We start from the raw sequence: 24,745 nt of genomic DNA, 5'->3' as shown, positions 1-24,745 counted from the left end.
AGGTTTTCAGCAACTAGCCGGCAAAGAGGAACAAATGCCTCTTTAAACAAAGGTTTTCTTATTTGTTGTAATATACGGTTTGTTGTGTCAGTTGAGCTGGGATCTTCTGGAATATTCCATGGACTACTTCCTCAGAGGAAACAGACCTCAACTGGTTACCCCCATATCCTTCAGACTGGTTGGCTTTGTGTAGTTAACAATGAAGGGGCCATTAATTAATTAATATTTATTTTTGAATTAGTATTTTATTGCATCAGTGATATGTGAAAATGCTGGTCTTAAAAAAGAATTCTAAATAAGGCTAAAGTCTCCTTAAATGAGTCCCTCTGATCCTTGCCCCTCCTTGCCACTATTGAACATATCCCCATTATCCATTTGATGTGGACGTTCATGGAAGGCAAAAGCCACACATGTGTTTGAGTGTGTGGAACACCTGTCTCCTGCTGTGCCTGCCATTCTGCAGTGTGGCATTTTACTGAACATTATGTTTTAAAGACTATGTTGTTACCTGTAGAGATAGCTCATTCCTTTTAACCTAGCTTTGTAGGTTGGCTGCCCCACAGTTTTTTAGAATTTCCAGTTGTTTCCAGTTCTCTTTTCTACCAACAATATTGCACTGAACATCGTTGTGAATGCACCTTTGAATGTGCATTGCTAGAGAATGAAAAATGCCCTTTATTTTATATATGAAGCTCTTAAGAGAAGGGATTTGAAGATCAGCCAGAGTCTTACAAATGATTAGCAGAGTATAGATTGAAACCATTTTCCCTGACTCTACTTACCTAATGGGGGATTGTTTCCAAATTTTCATGTAGGTCATTGGGATCCTGGGCAGAGTCAAGTGCAGTAAAAGATAACTATGGTGAAACCTTGCTGATTCCAATTAACTAAGAAGGTCTCTCTGAATTAGGAGAAAATATGAATTTAAAGATGTCATCTTATATAATTTTGAAGTTTATACAGTGACCCACACTTATACAACCTAATAAAATTTCTTAAGGGAATCATATTAATAAGCCAAAAAAAGCACTTAATCGTTATTTTAAAAAATAAAGACATATCAAAATTGTTCAACACAGTTATTTGTATCCATAGGTAAAATATTTTCTCCTATAATCTTTTTTATATTTTAATATGCTTAGCAGATGATTTTTCTCTAGTTAGTGCAAGATAACTATACCACTTCCTTTCTGAATGATGTAAATTAGCTAAGGAGGGTGAAAAGGTGTAGACATTTGAGTAACTCCTCTGTGCCAGGTAGGAGGCTTTTAAACATTTTCTCTTGTTTCATTATCTTAATAATCTTGTGAAGTGAGTCTTACTATTTTCCCTTTATAAATGGAGAAACTGAGACAGAGAGGGCCCCAAAGCACTTTGTTAAAGGATGCCTATCTGAGTTTGCCTGATTTGAAAGAGTAATACTCTACCATATCAGAGTTTCCTTAAATATGGTCCTCAGATTCTCTGTATCAGAATCTCCTGGAATTTTTGTTAATACTGCAGATTCCTCGGCCCCCAGTGGTGGGACCTGGGCTGCTGCATTTCTGACAAACTACTGAGTGTGCCTTATGCCCTCTGAGGTCTGGGAGCCAGGCTTCCATGGTGACCTCATTTTGGTGATGCAAGGAACCTTGCCAGAGAGTGCCCTCATGCCTCCCACGACGAGTAATCCTCATCATGCCTCACTCCCAGTGGGCACTCTGCCGGCTCATCTGGGCTGCTTCCTCCTTACTCACCCACTTGCCTTGCCTCGCCTCATATTACTTGTGCTGAACTCAGCATGGCTCATGGTTTGACAAGTCACTTCCAAAAGAGTTGAGATCGTCACACTCCCTAGGAATCACTTTGAAAAACAGGTTGAAATCTCCGGTGCAGCATCACCAGATCCCAAGCATCTCTTGTGTGCTTTATACAGATAGAATCTGTATTTTGCATTCTAACTCCTGCCCAAAGAAAAAAATCAAAAGAGGCAACAGCTTGCAGAAATGATTACTTTTGAAACACCAGTGTACGCTTTATTTTCCTTTCTCGCCTGTCTTTCGCACCCTTCCCTGGTGGTAGATTTCCCATAAGTCTGCCCCCAATTGCTCCTGACTTCCCTAGAATTGAGGAGATCACTTGTCCCTTCCAGCTCCAGCCCTCCCACTAAGGACAGGGTTTTGGAAGAGCCAGCTGGATTCAATGACCACCTTTGCCTTTCTTTCTCCATTATTATCTTTTTCTTTCAGCTTTGTGCAATTTTTCTTTTTCACTCCCAAATGACATGCTTTCCCTCCTGAGGGCTAATCCTGCTCCATTCCTTTCCAACAAGCTGTGAGTAGGAGGTTGCTTGGATGACTGGCAGACGTTGAGACAGACATGTGCTGATGATCCAGAGGGGACCCTAGAGCAACTTGGATTTGTGTTCATTTGTTAGCATTCTGTGTTGGCAAAAGAGCATCCGTCTTTGTTTTGGTATTGAGCTCATCCAAATAAAGAAAGCATTTCCTCTTCCGAAAGGCAGAGGAAAAAAAAAGAAAAGACCAAAAAAATTTTTTTAATTTTAACCATGTACTCCTTTGAAACTAAATATATACCCTTTCCTCTGTCCTGATTGGTCCGTTTCAATTGACAAGTGGATCGTGTGGAAAGGAAATAACCTGGACTTAATTGTAAGTTAAGTCTCTCTTAATCCAGAAGAGCATTTGAGATTCTGTCCAAGTGTTCAATTTCCCAGGCCGCTGAGGTCTGTGAATTTCTTTTCCCAGCCTCCAGGCTGCTGCAGTACAAGTCAGCATAGCTAATGCAGATAGATCTCCTGCCTCTCGCTCTCCTCCTCCCTCTGCTTTGATTCGATATGAACAGCCTGGTAACTCCGATGCTGGGGAGAAATCTGACATAACTCTGCAGATGGCTAGGTTGCCATGGAACACCTGGGGATTGTTCTTTAAGGAAAAGGTAACATTTATATGCTAATGATTTCTTCCCCCCTCCCCTCCTTGTTGCATTTTTTCCAGGGCTGCCAGTTCCCAAGAAGAGCCCAAAGTCGGTAAGGACTTGTCAGTTACTTGGTGCTTGTTGGGGCTGGGGTGGATGGTGGGGGGCTGGAGGTGGGAGGGTACTCTGTGTGGCTTCACTTCACTAAATGTGTTTTACAGTGGATGGGGGAGACAGGAGCCGGGGCTCATTTTCTTAAGTTCTGGGGATCTGTTTGTTATACAAGGTATTTGGGCTTGTCTTTAACTGTATAGTGATTTGTGGGCAGGCTGCAGGAGCCAGGATAAAGAATGCATGTTTGAAATCTTCTCTATACAAATGCATCCACACTCTCCTTCAAAGGGATGAGTTTCTTAGCCGTTTTCACTTGATACAAATGCTATTGTTTCCTTTGGAAGGAGAGAAAAAAAGAAAGCTCCACCTGCTCCGTGAGTAGCATTGCTCTCAACTGGTGTTCCCAGCCGTTCACATGTCTACCCATTCTCTCCCTTAGCTTTCTTAGGCGCCGGAGGATGAATTATTTACAAAATAAAAAGCCTGTAGGTTTAAGGAAGAATTGCTTTGCCCCATATATGTGACCATGCTCAGATGGAACAATGTTCACTGCCCCAGCACTGAGAATAGGACATTTCCTTGCTGTAGAAATGTCCTTTGTTGTTTTGCCAGCTTTAGCAGCATTATGCTGCAGGTATAGGATTCTTAAAAAAAAAAAAAAAAAAAAAAAAAAAAAAAAAAAAAAATCAATGTTTTGCTGTCCTTTCCAATCTGGTTTCCCTGAAGATGCATTACCTAGTTGACATGTTAGCTAATAGCTTAGAGGCTATAGTGTTTTGCTTGGTGGTATGGGTTTATGCTCCCGGGGCACTAATGACAAATTAAAATGCTGCTTAACTCAACATCTGGAACTCCAGTGCCTGTGAAATTGATCTGGGTGGAAGGGGCTTCCCAATTCATTAACATTAGGATAAAGAGGGATGTTTCCATGTGGTTTAGAAGATTTGGGGGAGGGAAAATGTACAGCCTCGTGCCATCCAGGAAGGGAGAACCTTGAAAACTTTGCGGCTTACGGCGCTGCAGCTGAATTCTTTCCACCTGTCTCCAAGCCTGGCAGCATGAGGCAGAAGTTTATTAAGGAGATGAGAGAGGGAGCTTCCTGCATTTTAAACCTCACTCCTAAGTTCTCCAAAGAGAAAAACCTGCAATAATTGATGTGATTCCGATGGCATAGTGCCGTGGTGATTGGAACTTTGACTTCAGGGCTGGTTTCCTTGTCAGTGTGTGTTAACGTCCAGGCAGAAAAGTGCTGGTTGGTGCCCACATTGGAACCACAAAGATGCCAAAGTGTGTGCATGTGCGCATGTGTGTCTCCCTGTCCCTTGGTCATAGCCAGTAACCCATCCGCCTTCAGAGAAATGGAAGGAAATCCAGAAGATGTGTCTCATAAGCTTGAGTTAGCACGAACCCTCCTTTTTTCTCCCCAACCCCAGCCATGCTATGTTGATACATGGGCTTATTTTACACACCCTACATGGAATGGAGTCTTAACAAGGAGTGTGCTGAGGGAGACATAGTAGTTTTGCACAGGTAGCATGACGTCAAGTAGCAAGGTGTTCTTTTCCATTTTGCATTCCATTTAAATTTAGTGTGCAAAGGATTTTTGTAATTCATTTGCATTTCTGTTTCCCCCAAGTGTTTTGGAATTACCTGGTGAACCCAAAGGCTATCAAATAGGTATTGAACCTGCATTCACCAAGTCAGTTAAGAGAATTCCCTATGACAGTTAATTTTTGCAGAAGCCATATCATTAGCAAGCAGCAAGCCAATTACTTGGGCTGCATTCCTAAGAAAGAAGCTCTCAACTGCTTTACCCATAGTCTGCTGGTTCTTAATTACCACAAGCTAAGAGAGTGATGTGTTGCTGGGTTAGAAAATAATAAGCCCCCAGCTTGGGGCTTGTCCTTACCTGATTTCTGTGCCAGGACAGGGTTGAGGGTTTTCACAGCATTGCTGGCACACACTGGCAGTTGCTGTACAAAATTTGGGAGCTGTCGGCCAAGGGCTGCTGTTGGATGTAAAGTGCTGCTAACATCTGTGATCAGTGAGAGTTCTGTACAGGTGGCTTGAAAGTGGTTTCCCTTTCCCAGTTTGAATTTTGATGATGTCCTGCCAGGGAGACAGATGATTATGGGATTTTTCTGGTGGGGTCAGAGGGAATTCACAGGGAAGCTGGATGTCCTGGTACCAGAAAGCCATTCAAGTAATGACACATAAGGTCAATTATGCAGGATGCATAATTAAAAGCACACTGATTGTACCTGGGTTGTGACTCACTTAGATTTGGCAATAGCTCTGTGCATATGTGCACAGTGGTCTTAGCTCAGGACCATTGTGTTGTGGTTGTTTTGTTTATTTTATTAGAGGCTCCTGACAATGTTGGCTTGCTCATGTGATTGGCAGCTTCCTTTTGCCCTCATACCTTTTTTTTTTCTTAAGATTTTCAATAATTAAGTAGTTGAGTTTTTATTAGAACAGAAGGACTTATCTTTTTTTATCTTGTTTCTTCTCCTGGATAGTCCCTGTAGCTTACTCTTAATAAGCAATTTCACCTTCAAGATTTAGTTTAAATGTTGAAATTGTGGTTTATATACTCATTGGGGACAATGGCAGTATCTTAATAAAAATTTATTAATTTAATACCTGGACTTTCATAACATCAGGGATTTTTCTGCCAAATAGCAGAGACAAAAACAAGACATATTTTCTGTCAGGTTTTAGACCTCTCTGGGAAACTGATTCTGTGGCCCAACTTAATCATCCTGACTGAAAACTCATTTCACTGAGACTCTCAGTCTAAATCACCCACAAGGATGTTGTGTATGAGAATTTAAAACTAAATATCACACCAAACCCTGAATTTTAAGTCAGTATCCACCGTTTTCGTATGAATTCATTTCCCAACTCTTCTCCCTTAATCTGTCCCCTCTTTTTTTTTGAGATGAGGTCTCACTTTGTCATCAAGGCTGAGTGCAGTGGCACAGTCATAGCTCACTGCAGCCTCGAACTTCTGGGCCCAAGCAATCTCTTGCCTTAGCCTTCCAAGTAGCTGGGACTGTAGGTATGCACCACCATGCCTGGCTAATTTTTATATTTTTTGTAGAGGCGGGAGTCTCACCATCTTGCCCAGGCTGGTCTCAAGTGCTCCTCCTATCTTGGCCTCCCAATGTGCTGGGATTACAGTCATGTGCCACCACACCTAGCTATCATCTTCTATTTATCCATCTGTTGCTCCACCTACATATTCATCTTTCATCCATTCATTCATCCATTATTCAGAAAACTAGTATTTAGAACCCATTAAATAACAGGTTTGGTGTGAAGCACTGGAAATACTATAATAAATAAGGTGGTCATGGCACCTCTCTTCTTGCAGTTTGCAAACAAACCGTGTATTGATTGCTCCTTGCAAAAAAAAAAAGATTAATTGCCACAAATTTCCAAAATGTTTATGCAGTCATTTCATCAATAAGTATTTATTATTTTATGTGTGCCAGACCCAGTGCCAATATTGGATAAGAATTAATCAGAAAACATCCCTGCCCTCATGGAAATGGGGAGGGAGAAATAATAACCACATTAACAGGCAGATCTACAAAGATCCTCACCTCATAGGGATTAAAGTGTGATGAGCATTAATAAAGCAGAAATATAACATGGAAGCAAGTACGCACATAATGTAATCATTCCACTCTTAATTATAATAACTTATAAGTCATCATAAAATGCCAACACCCACGATTGAATAAGTGCTGTGATTGAGCTGTGGAGTACTTTGGAGTTCCCCAGCAGCCTAGGCAACATAGGAAACCACATTCTTTACTTAGCTATTATTGTCAGATGAAAGAAAGTGTACCATATTCACTAAAGAGACAAGAGTTTCCTGTTCACTAAAAAAAAAAAAAAATCCTACAAAAAGTTTTTATATAGAGGACCCTGGATGGTGGGCAAAGCATCCAGTGCCCATCCGCATTGAAGAAGCAGTCTCTTCAACAGCCTCTTTAGAGCAGACATAGCAAGCTGTCGGCAGGGTAGCCACAGTGATAGGTTTTTGTTCCACTATCCTCTCTGTCCCTTTCCCCTGCAAGAGATGCTAAAGGAAATTGCTGAAAACTAGTCATTAAGAGATGTGAGGGAGAGACTCCTTTTACACACACACACTAAGTGACCCTGGCCTAGATCATTCCGTTTTATGTACCCTGCCTCTTTCTCAGACTCACACAGTTGTGTGGCACCTGTCTTCCTTTTCCCTGATGCCACTTGTGTGACAACCAGCATGATGATTGATCCCATCAAAGCTTCTACAGCCTACAAGAAGAAACAGTGAGAGTAGTAGATGGGTGAAGGCATAGGATCACTTCAGTCAGTCTCCTTGCCTCTCACTTCCCGTGGCAACTCCCCTTCTCTGCCTTTTGGAGCCCTGGAAGATGGACTTTGCCATTGTATTACATTCCTTTAAAACATGCAATGTGAACCAGAACCCATTTTCATATCCAGTCAGTGCCTGCCTTTTCTTCTGCATTAACTCCTCTCGCCCACCTTTTTGGAAGAAATCGTTTGACTTAGACCCATAAATGATAAAAGAAACAAACAAAAGGAATGACCATCCTCTGCACTGGCTTGGATTCGAGTCTCTGATTTTCACACACCCTTTAATGACGTTGGCCTAATACCTCATCAGCACTTGGAGTTTTTCCTGTTGTCCATGTAAATCGCTGCAGTAGCCTTCGCTCTTGGCAGATAAGTGAACTGTAAATAATTTTGCTTTAAAATGGATCAATTTGTCATTTTTAAGCCACATGAATTCTTTTCATCATTTAAGCTCCTAAGTGCTGTCTGTATTCATTTGCTCTTCCAAGCAAATATTTTCAGTTCACTTTCTAAGTACCTACATTTTGAAATCATTCTGGGAAATACTGATGAGTTGATTTTTTTCGCATTTCCATTTATAAAAACCATTATGTCTTCCCAATTTCCCTGGCCTGACAGTAAGTAAGGGAATCATTCATTTCAGAGAGGTTGGTACAGTTTTAGTTTTAGTTTAAAAGGTCTTGTGATACAGGTTCATGGCCAACATGTGGCCAAAGACCTTTATGGAATTTTTTTAATTGAGCCCATTTCCATATTCCTAGTTGGCTATGAATTGAGACTCAGCAATAAGACTCTTGCTTCAAAAATATCAGCATAATGACAACAATTAGCATTGGAAATTCCTATCTTAATATGTGGCACCCCTTCTCAACCAGTTACTCACAGTAGAGATGTGGTGCATGGATATCCTTGTTTCTAAGCTCTCCTCCTTTTGGTGATCCTCTTCACCTCCCTTCTCTCCTGTCCCCTCCATCCTCCTGCTCCTAAGCCTCCTCCATTCAGTCTGTCAGCAATCCCTGTTGAATTTGGCAACAAAGTGTCTTCTGACCTCACTTGTTCTTTTCCTGGGTAACTCCAGCTACCCTGGTGTTGCCCACCTCAGGTCCCCACATTGACTGCACCTGGGGCTTCCTGACTGGCCTCTCCGCATTCACTCCTCTTCCCCACCAATCCATTCACCACCCAGTAGCGACACCAAACTTTCTGGAAACATGTTGGCTCTTGGAACATCCCCACTTGAAATTCATTAATGGATTCCCCCTCTTGAAACTAAGAATGAAACCCAAACTCCTTACGTAGCCCACAGGGCTCATGCGTTATGTGGCCTCCCAGTTCCTCTCAGGCCACCCTCCCTTGCTGTGTCACATTAGCTTTTTTGTTCTTCAGAAAGTCCACTTAGCACACCCTCTTTTTTTTTTTTTTTTTTTTTGAGATGGAGTCTCGCTCTGTCACCCAGGCTGGAGTGCAGTAGTGTGATCTCAGCTCACTGGAAGCTCCACCTTTCCAAGCGATTCTCGTGCATCAGCCTCCCAAGTAGCTGGGATTACAGGTGCATGCCACCACACCTGGGTAATTTTTGTATTTTTAGTAGAGATGGAGTTTCACCATGTTGGCCAGGCTGGTTTCGAACTCCTGACCTCAAGGGATTTGTGTTCCTCGGCCTCCCAAAGTGCTGGGATTACATGTGTGAGCCATCATGCCCAGCCTTCTCTTTCTGTTAGTAGGGTTCTTCCAGAGTCCTCTCTTTACCACCTTTCTAAAGGACATTGCAGTGTGTTGCTATCAATAGATTATATTTTATTAATATTCATCTACACACACTATGTATACACACACTTAGATACATTCCCAGGGATAAATTTCAAGAGCTCAGGTACCATCTATTCCTTATTTACATGTTGTTTCCCTCAGTATCTGGCACACAGCAGGTGATCCTATGTATTTATTGGGTTAAGTGAATAAATCTATTGCAGGTAGGGCAGCACACTTAGGAGGGCCTGGGCTGGATGTTATATCATTTGTGTACTAGGTTTTTCCATTTTTCCATGTTCTTAGTATGCACAGGGTTTCGTTAACAGACTTAAAAGTATACTTTTAACTACAGCTACTTGTCTTTGGGCTAGTGTCTCACCTAGGAAAATGAGGTGAAATACAATTGCATTAAATGCAAATCTGCTCCTGTGTCATAAATAGTTCAGAAGTGAACGTATTCTCATGCCCCTAGTCTTCTGGGAGGTGATCCAGACTGCTGAAAATGCACACAAGTTGACTTTAATTTGGGAGATATATAAACATGGTTTTTCTCCTGGACAGTTCTGGGCTCTAACCAGATAAAGGACAACCTCATAGCTAATTAGAATGCTAACAGAAAATAAAAAAAAAATTACTTTGAACTCCCCTCACACCCACAGCATAGTTTTAAAAAATCCAGAGTGCCCACAAGATATTAAATTACAGAATATGTCTTCAAATTAATGAGTTTTCATAATTGAACTTGAGAAGGAACATAGAATGAGGTTAAGTCTTAGCAGGGAGAACATCCAAAAAGCTTCCAGATTATTGTGTATTTAGCCCACTGGTGTGCCATTTATATATGCCAGTTAGAGATAGTTGAGTGGTGGCACAGTTTTTAGAGCATATTCTCAGGATGCTCCTTTACTTTTATTTTCCAGTTTGAGGTATAAAGTTTAGATGGCATTTAAAGGAGACTCAGAGGTGCAGTTTGACCGAGAGGCAGTTTTGCAAACTCATTCCAGATTGTGTCTGTCATTTGGTGTTAAATTGGACCTAAATGAGTCATTTATTGGGGAGGTGAGAAAGGGTGTTATAATTTGAAAAATGGCCCAAGCATTTCCAGTAGACTTCATTTGCACTCTCTATTTCTGGTGGAACCATCTCTTCAGTTAAATGTAAGAGATCTAGGTTCTTCCATGTCAGGGATTTCTTATACTGGGACAGACATGAGAGGGTTTCAAAAACCCATGACGTGACATGCTGAATCTCTGCACATGCATGTACAGGTATGTATGTAAAAGCACATACGCATTTTCTCTGGGAGACAGGTCCAGTACTTTTATCAGACTTTCTCAGTGGGTCAGGGATGCCAGAAGGATATTTCTCTCCAGTTCAGGAAGAAGAATCAAGTGGAAAAGGTTTGAGTTAGGCTTCAGGAGGTAATGGCCCAAGAAGACAATGGAACAGAAACTGCCAATAACCCTACAAAAGAAGCAGCAGCACAAGGCTGTTTCCTGCAGGTAATCCTGCAGTGTGCACGCCTTTGTGAAGCGTAATTTCAACACGATGAGACCAGAGCTTCCAGGGTCAGAATTTAGTGCTTATAGGCCGACCCTGGAATCAATCTGGCATCTATTAATTTGAGGAACCAAAAGAGAGTGGTCCTTTGAAGGGAGGCATGCCACTCTCAGGGTAAATGCAGAGGTCTTTTATTGAGTTTTTTGCTTTTACATTTAAAATATCTTTCCCCTTCAGAGGTGAACAAAAGTAAAACATTACTAAAATGTAAAAAAATAGGAAGTAGCAGTTCCCGTTAATTCTATTTACCAAGGTTCATTTTGAAATGAAAATGACTTTAAATTTTGTCTTGATTATAAAAAGTATTCTCTATGCACCATAAAAGTAAAAAAGGTAGGTAATATGGGAAAGTATAATGATAAGAGGGAAAAACTCCACCCATAATCCCATTTTTTCTATGTGTTGTTATGTAGGTTCACACAAAAAAAGGGCTGATACTGTACATGGTTGTTTATAATCAAGACCCTTGTAAAGACCACATTGAAGAGGGGGGGAAAAAAAGCAACTGTCCCATGTGCATGCAAAAGAAAATGAGTATGGTATCCATCATTTACATTTTCTCACTCTGGCCCTGGGAGCTGAATTCACTGTTGGAGGAGAAACTGTTGAAGTTGGCAGAGCCAGGTTCTATCAACTCTGGAATGGCAACCAAATCTGAGCTGAGCACTTGATCCTCAAAAGAGAAAAATGGTGACGTGGGATTATGATGGTGTTTGTTCCCACCCAAACATCAGCGTGTTTTCCTGGCATCTGCAACAGTGTATGTTTTTCCCCTTGAATTGAAGTGAATTAAGCCTCTCATACAGTTTTCCCAAGACCTCCAGGATAGGTTAGAATATGGTCCTCAAATTTCTCCTGCAGGCACATCAAGTATAATTTTAAACAGTCTACCTTGCCTTCATTGAATGCATGTCCAATTGTTCTCAATTTTGAATCCTTGCCAATACCTCCATTCAAATCTGTAATAGTCAAGAGCAGATGAAGTTTTTGTCCTCCTTGGGCTTTCTTCAGATACTTGTTTCAAAGCAATTACTGGAAGGAGAGGAAGTATAGGGACCTGAGAATTAAATGAAGGGACCTTGCAAATTTCCAGCAGAATTCCAGGGGAATGAAAGATGAAGGATACTCGGGGAGACAGCAAGGAAGAATGGCCTTGATAGGATTGATCGGAACACCTGGTGGAAGATTTGGGCTCTATAAAGAACTTCAGGGATCTAGAATGATCAAGGTCAAAGCTCTTATAAAGTACTTTAAAACCACGAGCTCTACAGGATCTATAAAAGAGAATGGAGAGCCCTTTCCTGTCCTCTACCCCATACAATGCTTTAAATCAGCTAAGTATAGTGACATGGTGTCTATGGTATATGAGGCATGACTGCAGGATTTTTTGTTTTGAATAGGGAATGCTAAACACCTGAGATTACCACAGTCTTTTATTGGAGAAAATAAGAACTACAGTTATTTTCTGTTCTACCCACTATTTTCCTTTCCATTAGGTCTTACTCTCCATTCATTCCCCATTCTAACAGAGCTTTTTGTAAAATGAGAAGGGTCTTTGCTGAGCAGATTTTAATGAACAAGGACTTGGTTATTCAACTGAAATTTAAATGGAACTCTTCCCCTTTGAATATTATAATACTTGGACTTTGGAGAAGTTGCAGATCTAAGAAGGCTGGCCCCCAGAGGTCAACTCATATACAAAGTTTGATCTTGGTTTTCAACCAACAGTACTATCGGCAGTTTAAGAGGTGAAGTGTAATGCTTGCCAAATTGATTAGCTAAGAATTATGGAAGTTCTTCATATATTAGTAATTTCTACACCTAGAAATACCAGTAAACATATAATACTAGGCATGATTTTTAAAAGATCTGACCTCCTTTTTTTTAATAGTCGAAAAGAATGGATAGCAAACTCTTAGAGAGGAATTGGGTATTTTATTATTAAAAGGTACAAGACATGGAGTCCTGAGGAGCATCTTTAGCCCTGATTATATTTCTTCTGGATATTATAGCCTTATCCTAAACCACTCATGGTATTTGGTGTCACATATTTTTGTGAAAATGAAAATGTTAAAACTGATCCATCTTGCAGTAAACGAGCATAGCGTCTTAGCTGAGAACCTGTGATGAATATCAGATTTGTTTTCCGCTGTAGCCCAGAGAGCAGTATGGGTTATGATTATGTCTTCCTATCTGGCCCACCCCTCTGTTTGTCTGCCAGTCACCTGGGGATTTATCTACATTCAGCATTAGCTGGAGAAAGGTGGGAGCCAAAATACTGTTGATATGTATGTGTATGCAAAAGTGCTAAACAAAGACAAGCTGGTGGAAAGCACCCATTCAGAGAACCAATAATAATCTTTTCTTCTTGCCCCTCTCACTTGCTTACTTTCAGCAACCACTGGAAAGGAAAGACAGCCAGAATAGTTCTCAGCACAGTGTTTCCAGCCACCGAAGCCTGCACACAGCATCCCCAAGCCACAGCACACAGGTGCTCCCCGAGTTCCCACCTGCAGAGGCCCAAGCTCCAGATCAAACTGACAGCTCTGGCCAGAAAAAACCAGATCCTTTTAAAATCTGGGCCCAGTCCAGGAGCATGTATGAAAACCGACGTGAGTAGCATCCTGGCCTCTGTCTTACCCTGACCCCTCCGCAGGGCTCTACCTTTCTCTTGAAGGTTATTGAAAATAGATGAGTTGCAGTGTGTAAACTGGGTAAAGTGAAATCCGCAAGATGCAAAAGTATCACAGAGGGAGTGGACTCTGCTGGCTATTCATGGAGTCTCCACTATGCCTTCACTTTGGGGAGGGGGTAGAAGTGGATGGTTATCACATAAATGCCCTGGGTAAAAATGGGTTTTTTCGTCCCTTCAGTTAAAAGGAATGGTAGATAAGAGCTGCTGTCTCATTAATTCTCCGAGTGGAGATTGTGATGTGCTCTGAGCACAAATCTGATATGCAACAGAACTTAAACATGTTTGACTGGGATTTTGGGCTAATGAGAAGAAATTAAATGCTTTTTAAGTGGTCTCTTGATTTTTAAAAATACTGGTAATTTTTTTTAACCATTATAATCTCTCTAAACATTCCCCATGAAAAGGAAAAAACCATAGCAGTGAGTGGTTGTGCTTTAATTACTTATCCAGTGCTTTACCTTTTCTATAAATATGAGCCAGTGATAGTATACTTTGTAACTTCTTGGCTTGTATAAACATAATATCACCCTCATGTTTAACGTCTTTTTATTATGAAATGATTTCCAAAAACTATTCACCATAAATAATATTCATTTATCTTACCAATGAAAGTTCCTAAAAATGCCTTAATTTTAGGCGATGCAAATTGATTGTTGTTGTTGGGTGGCTGTTTTCTGATGTTTTCTTATAATGGTCAGGGTGAGGCAGCTATGAAGGACAGATACCTCATTTTCTCTTTTTGGTATGGGGTAGGAGAGAGGTGTTGTGATGGTGGAGATTCGGTTTGTTGAAGGGTCTGGGAGAAGCTGGAAGAGTGAAGGGAATCATTTTGCTCATCCTCCCCTCAGCACAGGTTTCATTCCTAGCTGCAAATGTGGTCACTGCTCAGCAGGGTCCCCATCGAGAGTCGTGGCAGAGAGGTTGTGTGAGGTGTGGGTCCCTGGCCTCCCGTCCACTACACAGACTTGGCCATGCTGTGCTTCCTTTGCCGGCCGAGGTGCATGCTGAAAGTCGACTCCTCTGTGACCCAAGCAAAATGGGGCAGTGAGGCCAGCATCCTTGTCTGAGGAGGAAAGTTGGTCAGTCCACTGAATGATGCTCAGCAGTTGGGGGGCAGAGGTGAGCCTGGAGTCTTGCTGGTTATCAAATGTTAGGAGTCACTCAGGGCTTCATCCTTTTCCTCCTCAAGGGAGAAATATTACTGCCTTCTTGGTACCACAATGCATGGAATTAAATAGGCTGTTTTGGCTACAAGTTCACTCTGCTGACAAAAAGCCCACTAATTTGAGCAGGGACTTATTTAGTCGCTGGACTAGAAAGACACCCCTAAAGTACCCCTGAGGCCTGACTAAAGGAAATGAAGTTCCATTTGGAATGACCTCATATGCAGTGGATGCTAACCAGGAACCAGGTTCTGTCCTCATTGTGTCTCCTCGCTCACTGTAGTGATTTCACTGAAGAAAACCATTTAAGAGATATTTCCAAAGAGGAGCGTTTTCACATTCCCCGCGCATTTCTCTCTGAGCTTGTGGCTCGTCCAGTCAATGGCCCAACTTCAGTTAATGTTGAGATATTGCTTTATTGACCGAACTCCTGCTCTCCTCAATACAGTACACATTTATGATTGAGTTTTCCTGTATGAATCTTTTTGTGATAAAATGAATTGCATTCTGAAGGGCTGGCGGGGGCGTCCTGGGTTGACAGGACAATTGTAAAACATCCGTTTAATAGAAGGCTCTTGCTCAAATGCCATTTTTACCCTGGTGGCGGCAAATTTTCTTAAGAATTTGACTTAATCAAATGTGTCTAAAAAGTTTTCACTAGGAAAAAAAAATTAGGAAAATATGTAATGTGGCCATAGCCAGCTACTGTAAGTACTGAAGTTGCTCAGGTGGCAGCCGGACTGAAATATTCGGGGCCAGGCGCCACGGCTCAGTCATATAATCCCAGCACTTTGGGAGGCTGAGGCGGGCGGATCACGAAGTCAGGAGTTGGAGACCAGCCTGGCCAATATGGTGAAACCCCGTCTCTGCTAAAAAATACAAAAATTAGCCGGGTGTGGTGGCGTGCGCCTGTAGTCCCAGCTACTCGGGAGGCTGAGGCAGGAGGCATCACTGGAACCTGGGAGGCGGAGCTTGCAGTGAGCCGAGATCATGCCACTTGCACTCCAGCCTGGGCGACAGAGCGAGACTGTCTCAAAAAAAAAAAAAAAAAAAAAAAAAAATTCGGAATGGTGCCAGTTTTGTTCCTTCACTTTCTTTAACATCTAAGGAATCGGATAGAGCAGCACAAATGAGAACCTGTTCCTTTTTGGTAATTGGAGTCTCTGTAGTTGACGGATAGATAGTAGCAACCTAATTGATGTTAACATTCACATGGATTTCTTCCTCACTACTAAATGAGGATAATGATGAGACCTCCCCCTGGCCCCCATGGTAATTATTCAGTATCTGTCACAGATTTTCTTATTTTCACAGCACCTAGGAATGATCGTGCATCAATCTCGTCTTTGAATCAGTATTTTTCTTTATCTGAGATCAGTTTCTGCCATTCTCTTAGGTTGTTTTGTATCTTGTCTTTCAAAGAGAAAAAAGTGTATAGCCTTGTTAGATGTGATTCCCTGCCCCCTCCCCCCAAGACAGTAAAATGAGCAGAGTAATCCAGGAAAAACAGGAAAATTGAAGTCAGCAACAGCAGCTTAACTGTGCCATATTACCCTCTTTTTGTTGGAAATACATTTTTCTTTTTCTTTTCTTTTATTAGGGGCAATGTGGAGATTAACACAATCTGTGAACGCATTCCTTCACATGGTCTAAATGTGTTGCAATGTACCATATTTTTGATATGGCCATCTCTCAAGGCAGCAGTATTAGAATGAATCAGTCTGAATTACAAATGTGTTCATGAATCCTTTTGAAGGGTTTCAATGTTTAATTAAAAACAAAGACGAGCACTGAAGTCCTTTAAAAGCCATGTTGCCTGTTTTATGGTTTCTCTAGAATTGTGCACATCTTAAAAACGACAGCGATGCAGTGTTATTAGTAAATGTTTAGGAAAATCAGATCCTATCCAGTAGCATTTACTACAAAAGAAATTATAAGGCTTATAGTTGAAACTTTGCCTGTTCACTATATAGTTTGGAAAGAAAAAACTGAAAACTGTCCTATTAACCAACATTGTAAATCTGTCCTGCCTTGGAGAGACATGCTTACAAGTTTGGAAGTGGCGATTGAGCTTCTTTATCATAGTGAGCTTAAGAAGCTTGGATATACCTCCAGATTTTAAGAGCAATTATGAGTTTGTATTTGTGTGTTTGTTCAGTTCTCGGATAGATCCATTGATCTGCATCTCTAAATATAAGACTATTCTGGCTTGAAATGCTTAGAATTCACCTGAACAGATATTAGTACAAGAATGAATTTCATCCTGGACTTGATACACTTTTGAATAAATGCTGTAGTATAGTGGTAGCACAAATATACTTAAATTTTTCAAAAAGCAATAAGGTTTTAGACAAACCATGATTGAAGTAAGGCCATTCAAGAATGTGTACTTTAGAATGTCATTAAATAAGGAGAGTTTAAGATAGTAATAGGAGTTATAGGAAACTCTCAGTGGTGCAATTGTAAATTCTACCTTTTTTACAAGTAAAGCACTGTAAAAAAAAAAAGAAAGAAAAAATGGAATCAAACTATAGTCTTTTAACATAACAGCCATGACCTTTATTGTGAAAGCTGAACTGACTGTTCCTTATCAATCAAAACTAAATTAAAGTGAACTAAGAGAAAGAATGTACATTAAGCTTTGCAAAATTGTGAAATTAATATTCCAGCTATGTCACCTTCACCTGCGTCGGGATTGAGCAAGGGTGAGAGAGAGAGAGAAATCAATTCCACGAATTTTGGAGAATGTCCGAGTAAGGATCCGCTGAAAACTTTTGTCTCTCCGTTTTCATTCATCTTGTTTGATGTTCTCATTGGTCTGGGGGCCTGGGGAGAAGTTCAGAAAAGAGAGGGAAGAAAAAAGGGGCATGAAGGGAAGTGCTTTGGAGCTCTTGTTGACCAAACGCAAACCAAAGACAAGATGGAATAAAAAGGGTTTTGCATGCCCTTGTCAAGTCTGGAAATGTGTTAGTTTGTCTGTAGTAATGGAGACACCAGGCAGTTTCTTTGCAAATCTGGTGGGTCCATTCTTTCTAATTATCAAAGGAAGTCTTTTGACTGCTTTATTGAATTGTCACTGGCATTACCCAAAGGAGACTAACTGCAGAAACTGTTCATATGCAGGGGCTTACAAATGAAAATTGGACAAGGTTTTCTTAGCTCTATTTGATTTAGCCTCACTCAAAAAAAGTGATATTAATATTGGGAAAATGGTTCTACCTTACTGCCGCCTAAAAACTTAATTCTAATAAAATCTGCCTGAAGTAAGGAAGAAAACCATTTTGGGGGAAGTAGTTTAGAAACTTCAATGCCTCTAAGAAGAGGTGGCCTCAGAGGACACAGAAGAGAGAAATTTTATAATCCCATAATGTGTTTCAGTACTGATTTATTGCCAAAGTTATAAATTGGGGTAAATGGCATTTAGTTGGTAGAAGAGTAGAATTCTTAAAATACCAAAATTAAAGTAGCAAGACTTTCTTTGTAACGTGTCTGTGTGTCGACGTTTATGTCTGTGTTTTCTGGCTCACTCTTGTGTCTTTAACATCCCTAGTGTCAGTGGGCATCTTCCTTTTCAACAGAAAACCTTTAAATAAATTTGCCATTTACCACTGATTCTCAGAAGGAAACGAAGCTTTTTTTTTTTTTTTTCCATGTGGCCTAAACGGTGTGATAAGCCTAAATCTGTTGGCCACAACCTCCCATACCATGCTAGCTCACACCTAAATGAGCAACAGTAGGCAGAAACTTGTTACATTTGGTGTCACTGTAGGATGGGCAAATGTTCTGGTGTTAAATGATGCTGAGAAAAATGGGTCTGGGCTGGAAGTCTCTGCAGAGGCCCTTTCGTTGTTCCCAGAAAAGCCACACACTCAGCAGACCTAAAACAGACTCTGCCAGGAGCCCAGTGCTGGCTGGAAAGCACCAGTGGTCTATTTCAGTAATAATCCTCTTGCTTGAGTGACTCAAAGACGGAGACACAACTTGATTTAATTTGTTGTTTCATTGAGGCTATTACAGCAAATATCCTGTAGCCAGCTACTCGAACAGAAAGAAAATATTGTTACCTTAGCGTGCTCAAGAAAATATTACTCTCAAATTGTGTTTATGGGAGTCCTGTGCAGTAGCTTAGCTCCATGTTCTGGGTGTTTTGCAGCTTAGCCTCAGCAATTATAATAAAAGCAGTGGATAGAAAGCACCCATTTACAGCCCTGGCACTGAGATAGCTCAAGTAAAAAGATCAGATTCAAACTCCTCTGACTTGTACTTACTGGTCACTTGGTTTCTTCTCTGTTGGTGTATTCATTCACTATACATTTTAAGTTTGTGGGTGAATCACTAAAAAGGGACATCTCTTCGCCAACCTAAAATCTAAACATCCACCTTCTTCTTCCCTATTCCATTGTACAAAACTGGAGAAGAAAAGAATTAAATTCTCAGGCCTGCGCTTTCCTTCAGCCCCAAATCCAGTTAATTAAATAAGAAGGTATGCACTATAGCATTTGAAAATCTCCTTTAGGATTCACTGCAACTGAAATATATATTTTTTCTCTTTAAAAAAATGATATATCATTTTATAGGTCATAAAACACCCTATGTATACATTAAAATATTACGTAAGAATTAAATAGAAATAACTCTTTTACTTTAGTGAAGTAACAGAGTGGTGTATAGAACAATTTCATGTATAGTAAGTATTTTCTTATGGAAATTGCATTTGTTTTAAAAAACAAGATATTCATTTTAAAGCCCTGGACCATTGCTGAGTATTGAAAGTAAAATATCAGGTTACTGGAAAATGAATTAATACTTTTAATGCTGAAATATCATAGGCAAATTCTAGAGTAAAGCAGTCATTTTGGCAATGAGATATATGATTCATTAACATAGACTTTTTGTCATCACCATTGATCTTAAGGATTTGGAGGCCTGGCTGATTTTGGTAATAGTATTGAAATCCTAATAAAATTTGTACAGTCACCCCTCAGTGTCTGCTGGGGATTGGTTTCAGGACACCCGCATCCCCCACCAAGGATATAAAAATCCATGGATGCTTAAATCCCTAGAAAATAGCCTAATATTTGTGTGTAACACACACACACACACACACACACACACCCCTTCCTATATTATTTATTTGTTTGTTTGTTGTTTGTTTATTTATTTGAGACAGGGTCTTACTCTGTCACCCAGGCTGGAGTGCACTGGGGCAATCATGGCTCACTGCAGTCTCAACCTCCCTGGCTCAAGTGATTCTCCCACCTCAGCTCCCGAATAGCTAGGAGTACAGGCACACACCACCATACCTGGCTCATTTTTTATTTTTTGTAGAGACAAGGTCTCACTATGTTGCCCAGACTTGAATGCCTGGGCTCAAGCGATTCGCCTGCCTTGGCCTCCCAAAGTGCTGGGAGTGCCACTGTGAGCCACTGCACCCCACCTCCTATATACTTTAAATCATCTCTACATTACTTATGACATCTAATACAATGCAAATGCCATGTAAATAGTTGTGATACTGTATTACTTAGGGAATAACGAGAAGAAAAAAATCTGTACGTATTCATCACAGCTAAAACCATTGTAGGTCTAACAAATTTTCTATCTGTGATTGGTTGAATCTAAGGATGCAGAACCCACAGATATGGAGGACTGACTGTATGCAGAAATACTAGGATGTTTTAGAGTAATTTTTGGCAAAAATGATCTAACAAAGCCTATTAGCATTGCTAGCCTTAATTATTTTAAGGAAGAAGAAAGTGACTTAAAGATAAATCAGAAAGTCTGTTTAAACCAAGCTGTTCTCTTTCATCCTCTAGTAGAGGAAACATCTGGTGACTTAACATGACTTCCGAATCCTTAGATCTGGCTTCAGAGGTGACTCTGACTTAGCCTGAGTGTTCTTGGACATGGACACCTGCTTTGTGGTGTGGCACATAATAATTTTAATTTACTTAATTCTCCTTGCAAGAATACTGAGGAAAGCAGTTAATGCTGACTATTTGTAGTTAAGGATCATGGCTTGGGCTTGATTCGGAATTATCAAACAGTGATGGGTCCTGTGAAGAACTTTAGGGCTCAGTGACTATTCCCACTGTTTATCCCCGTGTCTTCCATTATTTCACCTGTTCAGAGTATTTTGTTTCTTTGCCTATATTGAAAATCTTCCATCTGATCAAGCACCACCATTCTTGTCCTGCAACTGTGTTCATCTTGGGGGTATCATTGCTTTTATCAGTAAAATAATCCTTCTCTTTTTTCTCCCCTCTCTGCAGTTCCAGATTACCAGGAACAGGACATCTTCCTCTGGAGAAAAGAGACTGGATTTGGATTTAGGATTCTGGGTGGAAATGAACCAGGGGAACCTGTGAGTCTTTTGCTTGTCTCTCTTCCCAGCATATTTTTCTAAGGCTTCAAAGCAAATTGGCGACAGTGACAAATCACCAAGATTTAAGTCCAGCTAGATGCAACACTGACTCTTTAATCTTGAGTAGTGTGGGTTTCTCATTGGGTTTTGTGGAGCTCTCTTTGTCTTGAGGAAGAAGAGACTAGATTCTTTCTAAAAAGTTTGTATGAGTGTTTGTGAAAGGTGGGAGCTGCCTCTGTAGACCACCCCTTTTCCCCCAAGGGAGATGAAAACAGAAAGCAAAACAGGAATAGGCATCACCTAATATCACAGTGGCCTGGTCCTTCTGGCCAGGTCCCTTCACTCTGCCAGCAGGTAGTAGGCTTTGTATGTTGAGTTGCTGGTGTGCAGAGAGTACTTCGCAAAGCCTTATGAGACAGTGATTGGAGAATGTCAGACCCCTGCCTTTACAAAACTTGAGAAAGAACCCTGAGTAAGGGTCAAGAAACATTGAACTTCCCTGGGCCTCAGTGTCCTCCATTTTGGAATAAATTTAGAATAACATAACAGGGTTCCTTTGAAGGAAGAAAAGAAAACTGAAATAGGTATCGTTAATTTCCTTGTGGTAATAACAGCCATTATTCATCGAGCGCTTACTATGTGCCAGGTTCTGTGCTAAAGGCTCTTAACATACATTCTCTCATTTATCCGTCAAACCCACCAGTTTATCCCGTTTTCACATCAAGGAAAAGAAAGGCTAACTAACTTGCCCAAGATCGCAGAGCTACCAAATGGAGGGACTGACAAATAAGGTCTGACTCGAGTTCATGTTCTTAGCAACTATTTTGTCAAAGTTCTTTGTAAACTATAAATGCCACGTAAAGGTAGCTATAGCATTATTGTCTGCTGGAAAGGCAAGGCAGGCACAAATATTTTAGCTAAGGTTTAGTGAATGGCAAATATAACAGCAAGACACTAACTATAAAGAGTGCTCTGCTTTCGGGTGCTAAAAGACTTCAAAAATGGAGATGTCCAACCAACTTTTGCTTCATTCATTCATTTAAGAGTATTTATTACAGATTCCCTATTCCTAGGCATGATGCTAGACCCTTAAATAAAAGTAATATTAATATTTTAATTAGCAGAGTTTTATGGAAAGAGAGTTTTTAGGTAGCTACCAAAGAAGAATAGGGTATATAATGAAGGGAGAAAAGTAATTTATATCTGCAAAGGGGAAAAAGAGAGTGAGTCATCAATAGGCCACAGATAAACATCTGGAAACTAAGCAAGAAATACTCTTTCCACCATTTAAGAATTGTTGCAGTGCTTAGCACAATGTCTTGTACACAGTGGGTGCTCAATAAATGTTTGCGGCATGCCTGCAGACATGAATGAATGAATTGTTCCCAGAGATGTGAAGGCTATTGATGTAACAGTAAACATAGGAGAGCAATGTTTCATCCATCGTTCAATTACTCAACAGATTTATATTGGTCACATCGTACCACTGGGTGCTGCTGATACTGACGGCCGCCTGAGGTCTGGAGATGAATTAATCTGTGTGGATGGGACGCCAGTAATTGGAAAATCACACCAGCTTGTGGTCCAGCTTATGCAACAAGCTGCCAAGCAAGGCCACGTCAATCTCACGGTGCGGCGTAAAGTGGTTTTTGCGGGTATGTATTTCATTCATTCCTTCAGACAGTGCGTTGTCACTTTATTCACAGAAAAGGCCTCCTTCCTGTGTCTGCCTCCTTGAGCGTCTATTTTAGCAAATGTTTGCAAATGTGATCAAGCTCAGAATTTCCAGATGGCTTGCTTCTCTCAAACCCTGCAAAAATTACTGTCATTCTAAAGTACTTTAATGTGCCGTTTGCATGTGTTCAACAAAGGCTTCCAGAGGAAGGCTAGTTGAATATATATTACTTCCCTTCTATCTCCTTGCAAATCAGAACTTAGCCATCCTCTTCATTTGATGCTAATCCTCAGCAAATGAGGTCATTATGAAAGTCAGAAGAGTTGTAGCTTCATATCAAGGGAACAAAAATCGGGTTTGTGCTACAAAATAAGCTCATAAAAAAGTTACTGATTTCTTACTGTCCTATGTATTAAACCAAGATTTTTTTTTTTTCTTTCTACAAGAAAGTTGTAGAGCTGGCCAGTTCTAGGTCAGCTTTGATTCCTTCTTCCTGCCCATAAGCTTTGAACTTTAATTCTCAAAATACTACATATCCTTTCAGGCTCAGCTCAAATATAACTTTCTTCCCTTGGAAATTCCTCCTTCCTCCAACTGCCTTCAGATTTTAGCATTCCCTCCTTGCCATTCTAGTGACTCATGGTTTACTGCTGTATCAGAATCTGCCATTTTGAGACAGTGAATTGTGTGAGTGTTTGTCCTTTCCCTTGAAAGCTCACGTTGAACACACCTTGGTTGTTCACCTTTGGATGCAGCTCCCACCTTGAAACCTTTAAGGCAGAACCCAGAGTGCAGCAGAGGTGATTGTCTTCTATCAGTGGAATTACTGGAGAAATATGACCTGAAATATTATGAATTCTCTTGGCATTCATATTAGTGAAACAGATACCTGTCAGATAAAATTAATTGGTAACTTCTTTTAAAAAAAAAGAGTATAACCCATTTTAAATGGTATATGATTAATTATAGAATTAAGATGTTAAATTCCAGTGTGTTTGTGACCTCACAATCCTTCTTAACATACTATTCCATGTAGCTAAAAGCAGTCAGCTGGAACGAGTTTTTGAGATGAGATGAAAACTAACTATCTCGCTTCCCTGGCCCAAATAGAAATAGTAAGGCAATGTGATTTTTTTTGTTGTTTCAGGTTTATTTTTTTAAATCTTAAATATTTTGGATTTTTAGCTCTGTGTAAAAGGCGTGTCAAATCTATGAAGAGACATTATGCAAGTGAACTAGTCACAAAAGGAGAAATATTGATTCCCTTTATATGAGATACCTAGGGTAGTCAAATTTATAGAGATAGAAAGCAGAATGATGGTTGGTGGGGGGTGGAGGAAATAGGAAGGGGAATTAGTTTTTAATGAGTACAGAGTTTCAATTTGGGAAAATGACAAAATTCTGGAGATGGATGATGATGATGGTTGCACAAAAATGTGAATGCACTTAATACCACTCAACTGTATGCTTAAAAATGGTTTAAAAATTTGTTATGCTTATTTTTCCAAAATTAAAACAATCTATGAAAAGAGAAGCTTTTGGAAATAAATACAGTCTGATCCAAAACTTGGACACAACACACATTTTGTTTTTTGGCATAGTTGGTTCCACCTACGGTGTTGGCTATTTAGGAGTGCTTTACCTTGCAGTCTGATGGTAACACTAGAACGGTGACTAAATTCAGAAGGAGGCCAGTGTATCCAGTTCTGTGATCAGAGTCGATGTTGACACCTGGAAGCTAAGAAGAGAAGCATGTGTATGTCTCACAGGTGTTGTCATGAACCCCACATAGGGCGGGTAGCCTCAACGTTACCATCACCTTACTGTTTGTCGCCTGATGGAAAAAGCTGGGTGGAAATGTGACTGGAAAGTAATGACAATGTGAACGTGCATCCAAGGTTGTATCTATGAAGCCAAGATGGCGGTCTTCACGGGTGTAGCCCTCACCTACGCTTAGGCCCTTCCCTTTGTGCAATGGGGAAATATTTCACAGCAGGCCGATCTTGCTGCAGACTTGATTCTGAGTGTGGATGTCGACATATAGCATGCTATAAACAACAAACGCTATTTGGGAGTCCCATTTGGTGTTAGGTGGGATCAATGTTCGTAGATACTGAATGGTTAATATTTGTCAA

General features: G+C 40.5%; 1 protein-coding gene and 1 long non-coding RNA gene across 7 annotated transcripts in view, besides 4 other annotated features; one reads left to right on the top strand and one right to left on the bottom strand.

Moving 5' to 3' along the window:
* MAGI1 (membrane associated guanylate kinase, WW and PDZ domain containing 1) overlaps positions 1–24,745 on the top strand; it is a 685,393-nt gene that overhangs the window by 634,452 nt on the left and 26,196 nt on the right. For 5 of the 6 annotated variants that reach the window (NM_015520.2, NM_001365904.2, NM_001365903.2 and 2 more), the window contains exons 13-17: positions 2,997–3,028; positions 13,109–13,325; positions 17,241–17,324; positions 20,844–20,935; positions 22,398–22,590. In NM_015520.2, coding sequence (NP_056335.1) covers positions 2,997–3,028; positions 13,109–13,325; positions 17,241–17,324; positions 20,844–20,935; positions 22,398–22,590 — 618 coding nt within the window. The remainder of the gene's footprint in view (positions 1–2,996; positions 3,029–13,108; positions 13,326–17,240; positions 17,325–20,843; positions 20,936–22,397; positions 22,591–24,745) is intronic. The other variant, NM_001033057.2, reaches the window with a different exon arrangement.
* Positions 1,564–2,063: an enhancer, noted in NCBI's record as "H3K4me1 hESC enhancer chr3:65388079-65388578 (GRCh37/hg19 assembly coordinates)". NCBI's record gives its function as "activates a minimal SCP1, AML or CMV promoter by ChIP-STARR-seq in naive H9 embryonic stem cells {active_cell/tissue: H9 hESC(naive)}" and the evidence as "EXISTENCE:reporter gene assay evidence [ECO:0000049][PMID:30033119]".
* Positions 2,064–2,565: an enhancer, noted in NCBI's record as "H3K4me1 hESC enhancer chr3:65387577-65388078 (GRCh37/hg19 assembly coordinates)". NCBI's record gives its function as "activates a minimal SCP1, AML or CMV promoter by ChIP-STARR-seq in naive H9 embryonic stem cells {active_cell/tissue: H9 hESC(naive)}" and the evidence as "EXISTENCE:reporter gene assay evidence [ECO:0000049][PMID:30033119]".
* Positions 13,899–14,399: an enhancer, noted in NCBI's record as "H3K27ac hESC enhancer chr3:65375743-65376243 (GRCh37/hg19 assembly coordinates)". NCBI's record gives its function as "activates a minimal SCP1, AML or CMV promoter by ChIP-STARR-seq in primed H9 embryonic stem cells {active_cell/tissue: H9 hESC(primed)}" and the evidence as "EXISTENCE:reporter gene assay evidence [ECO:0000049][PMID:30033119]".
* Positions 14,400–14,900: an enhancer, noted in NCBI's record as "H3K27ac hESC enhancer chr3:65375242-65375742 (GRCh37/hg19 assembly coordinates)". NCBI's record gives its function as "activates a minimal SCP1, AML or CMV promoter by ChIP-STARR-seq in naive and primed H9 embryonic stem cells {active_cell/tissue: H9 hESC(naive and primed)}" and the evidence as "EXISTENCE:reporter gene assay evidence [ECO:0000049][PMID:30033119]".
* Positions 17,321–23,418, bottom strand: LOC124906246 (uncharacterized). Its single transcript, XR_007095952.1, has 3 exons — positions 23,341–23,418; positions 18,840–18,980; positions 17,321–17,397 (listed from the first exon to the last, which is right to left on the bottom strand). It is a non-coding gene; the product is annotated as an uncharacterized LOC124906246 (long non-coding RNA).

This window comes from Homo sapiens, chromosome 3 (assembly GCF_000001405.40).
Source record: "Homo sapiens chromosome 3, GRCh38.p14 Primary Assembly".
Classification (NCBI taxonomy): domain Eukaryota; kingdom Metazoa; phylum Chordata; class Mammalia; order Primates; family Hominidae; genus Homo; species Homo sapiens.
This window is presented reverse-complemented; position numbering and strand designations above follow the sequence as displayed.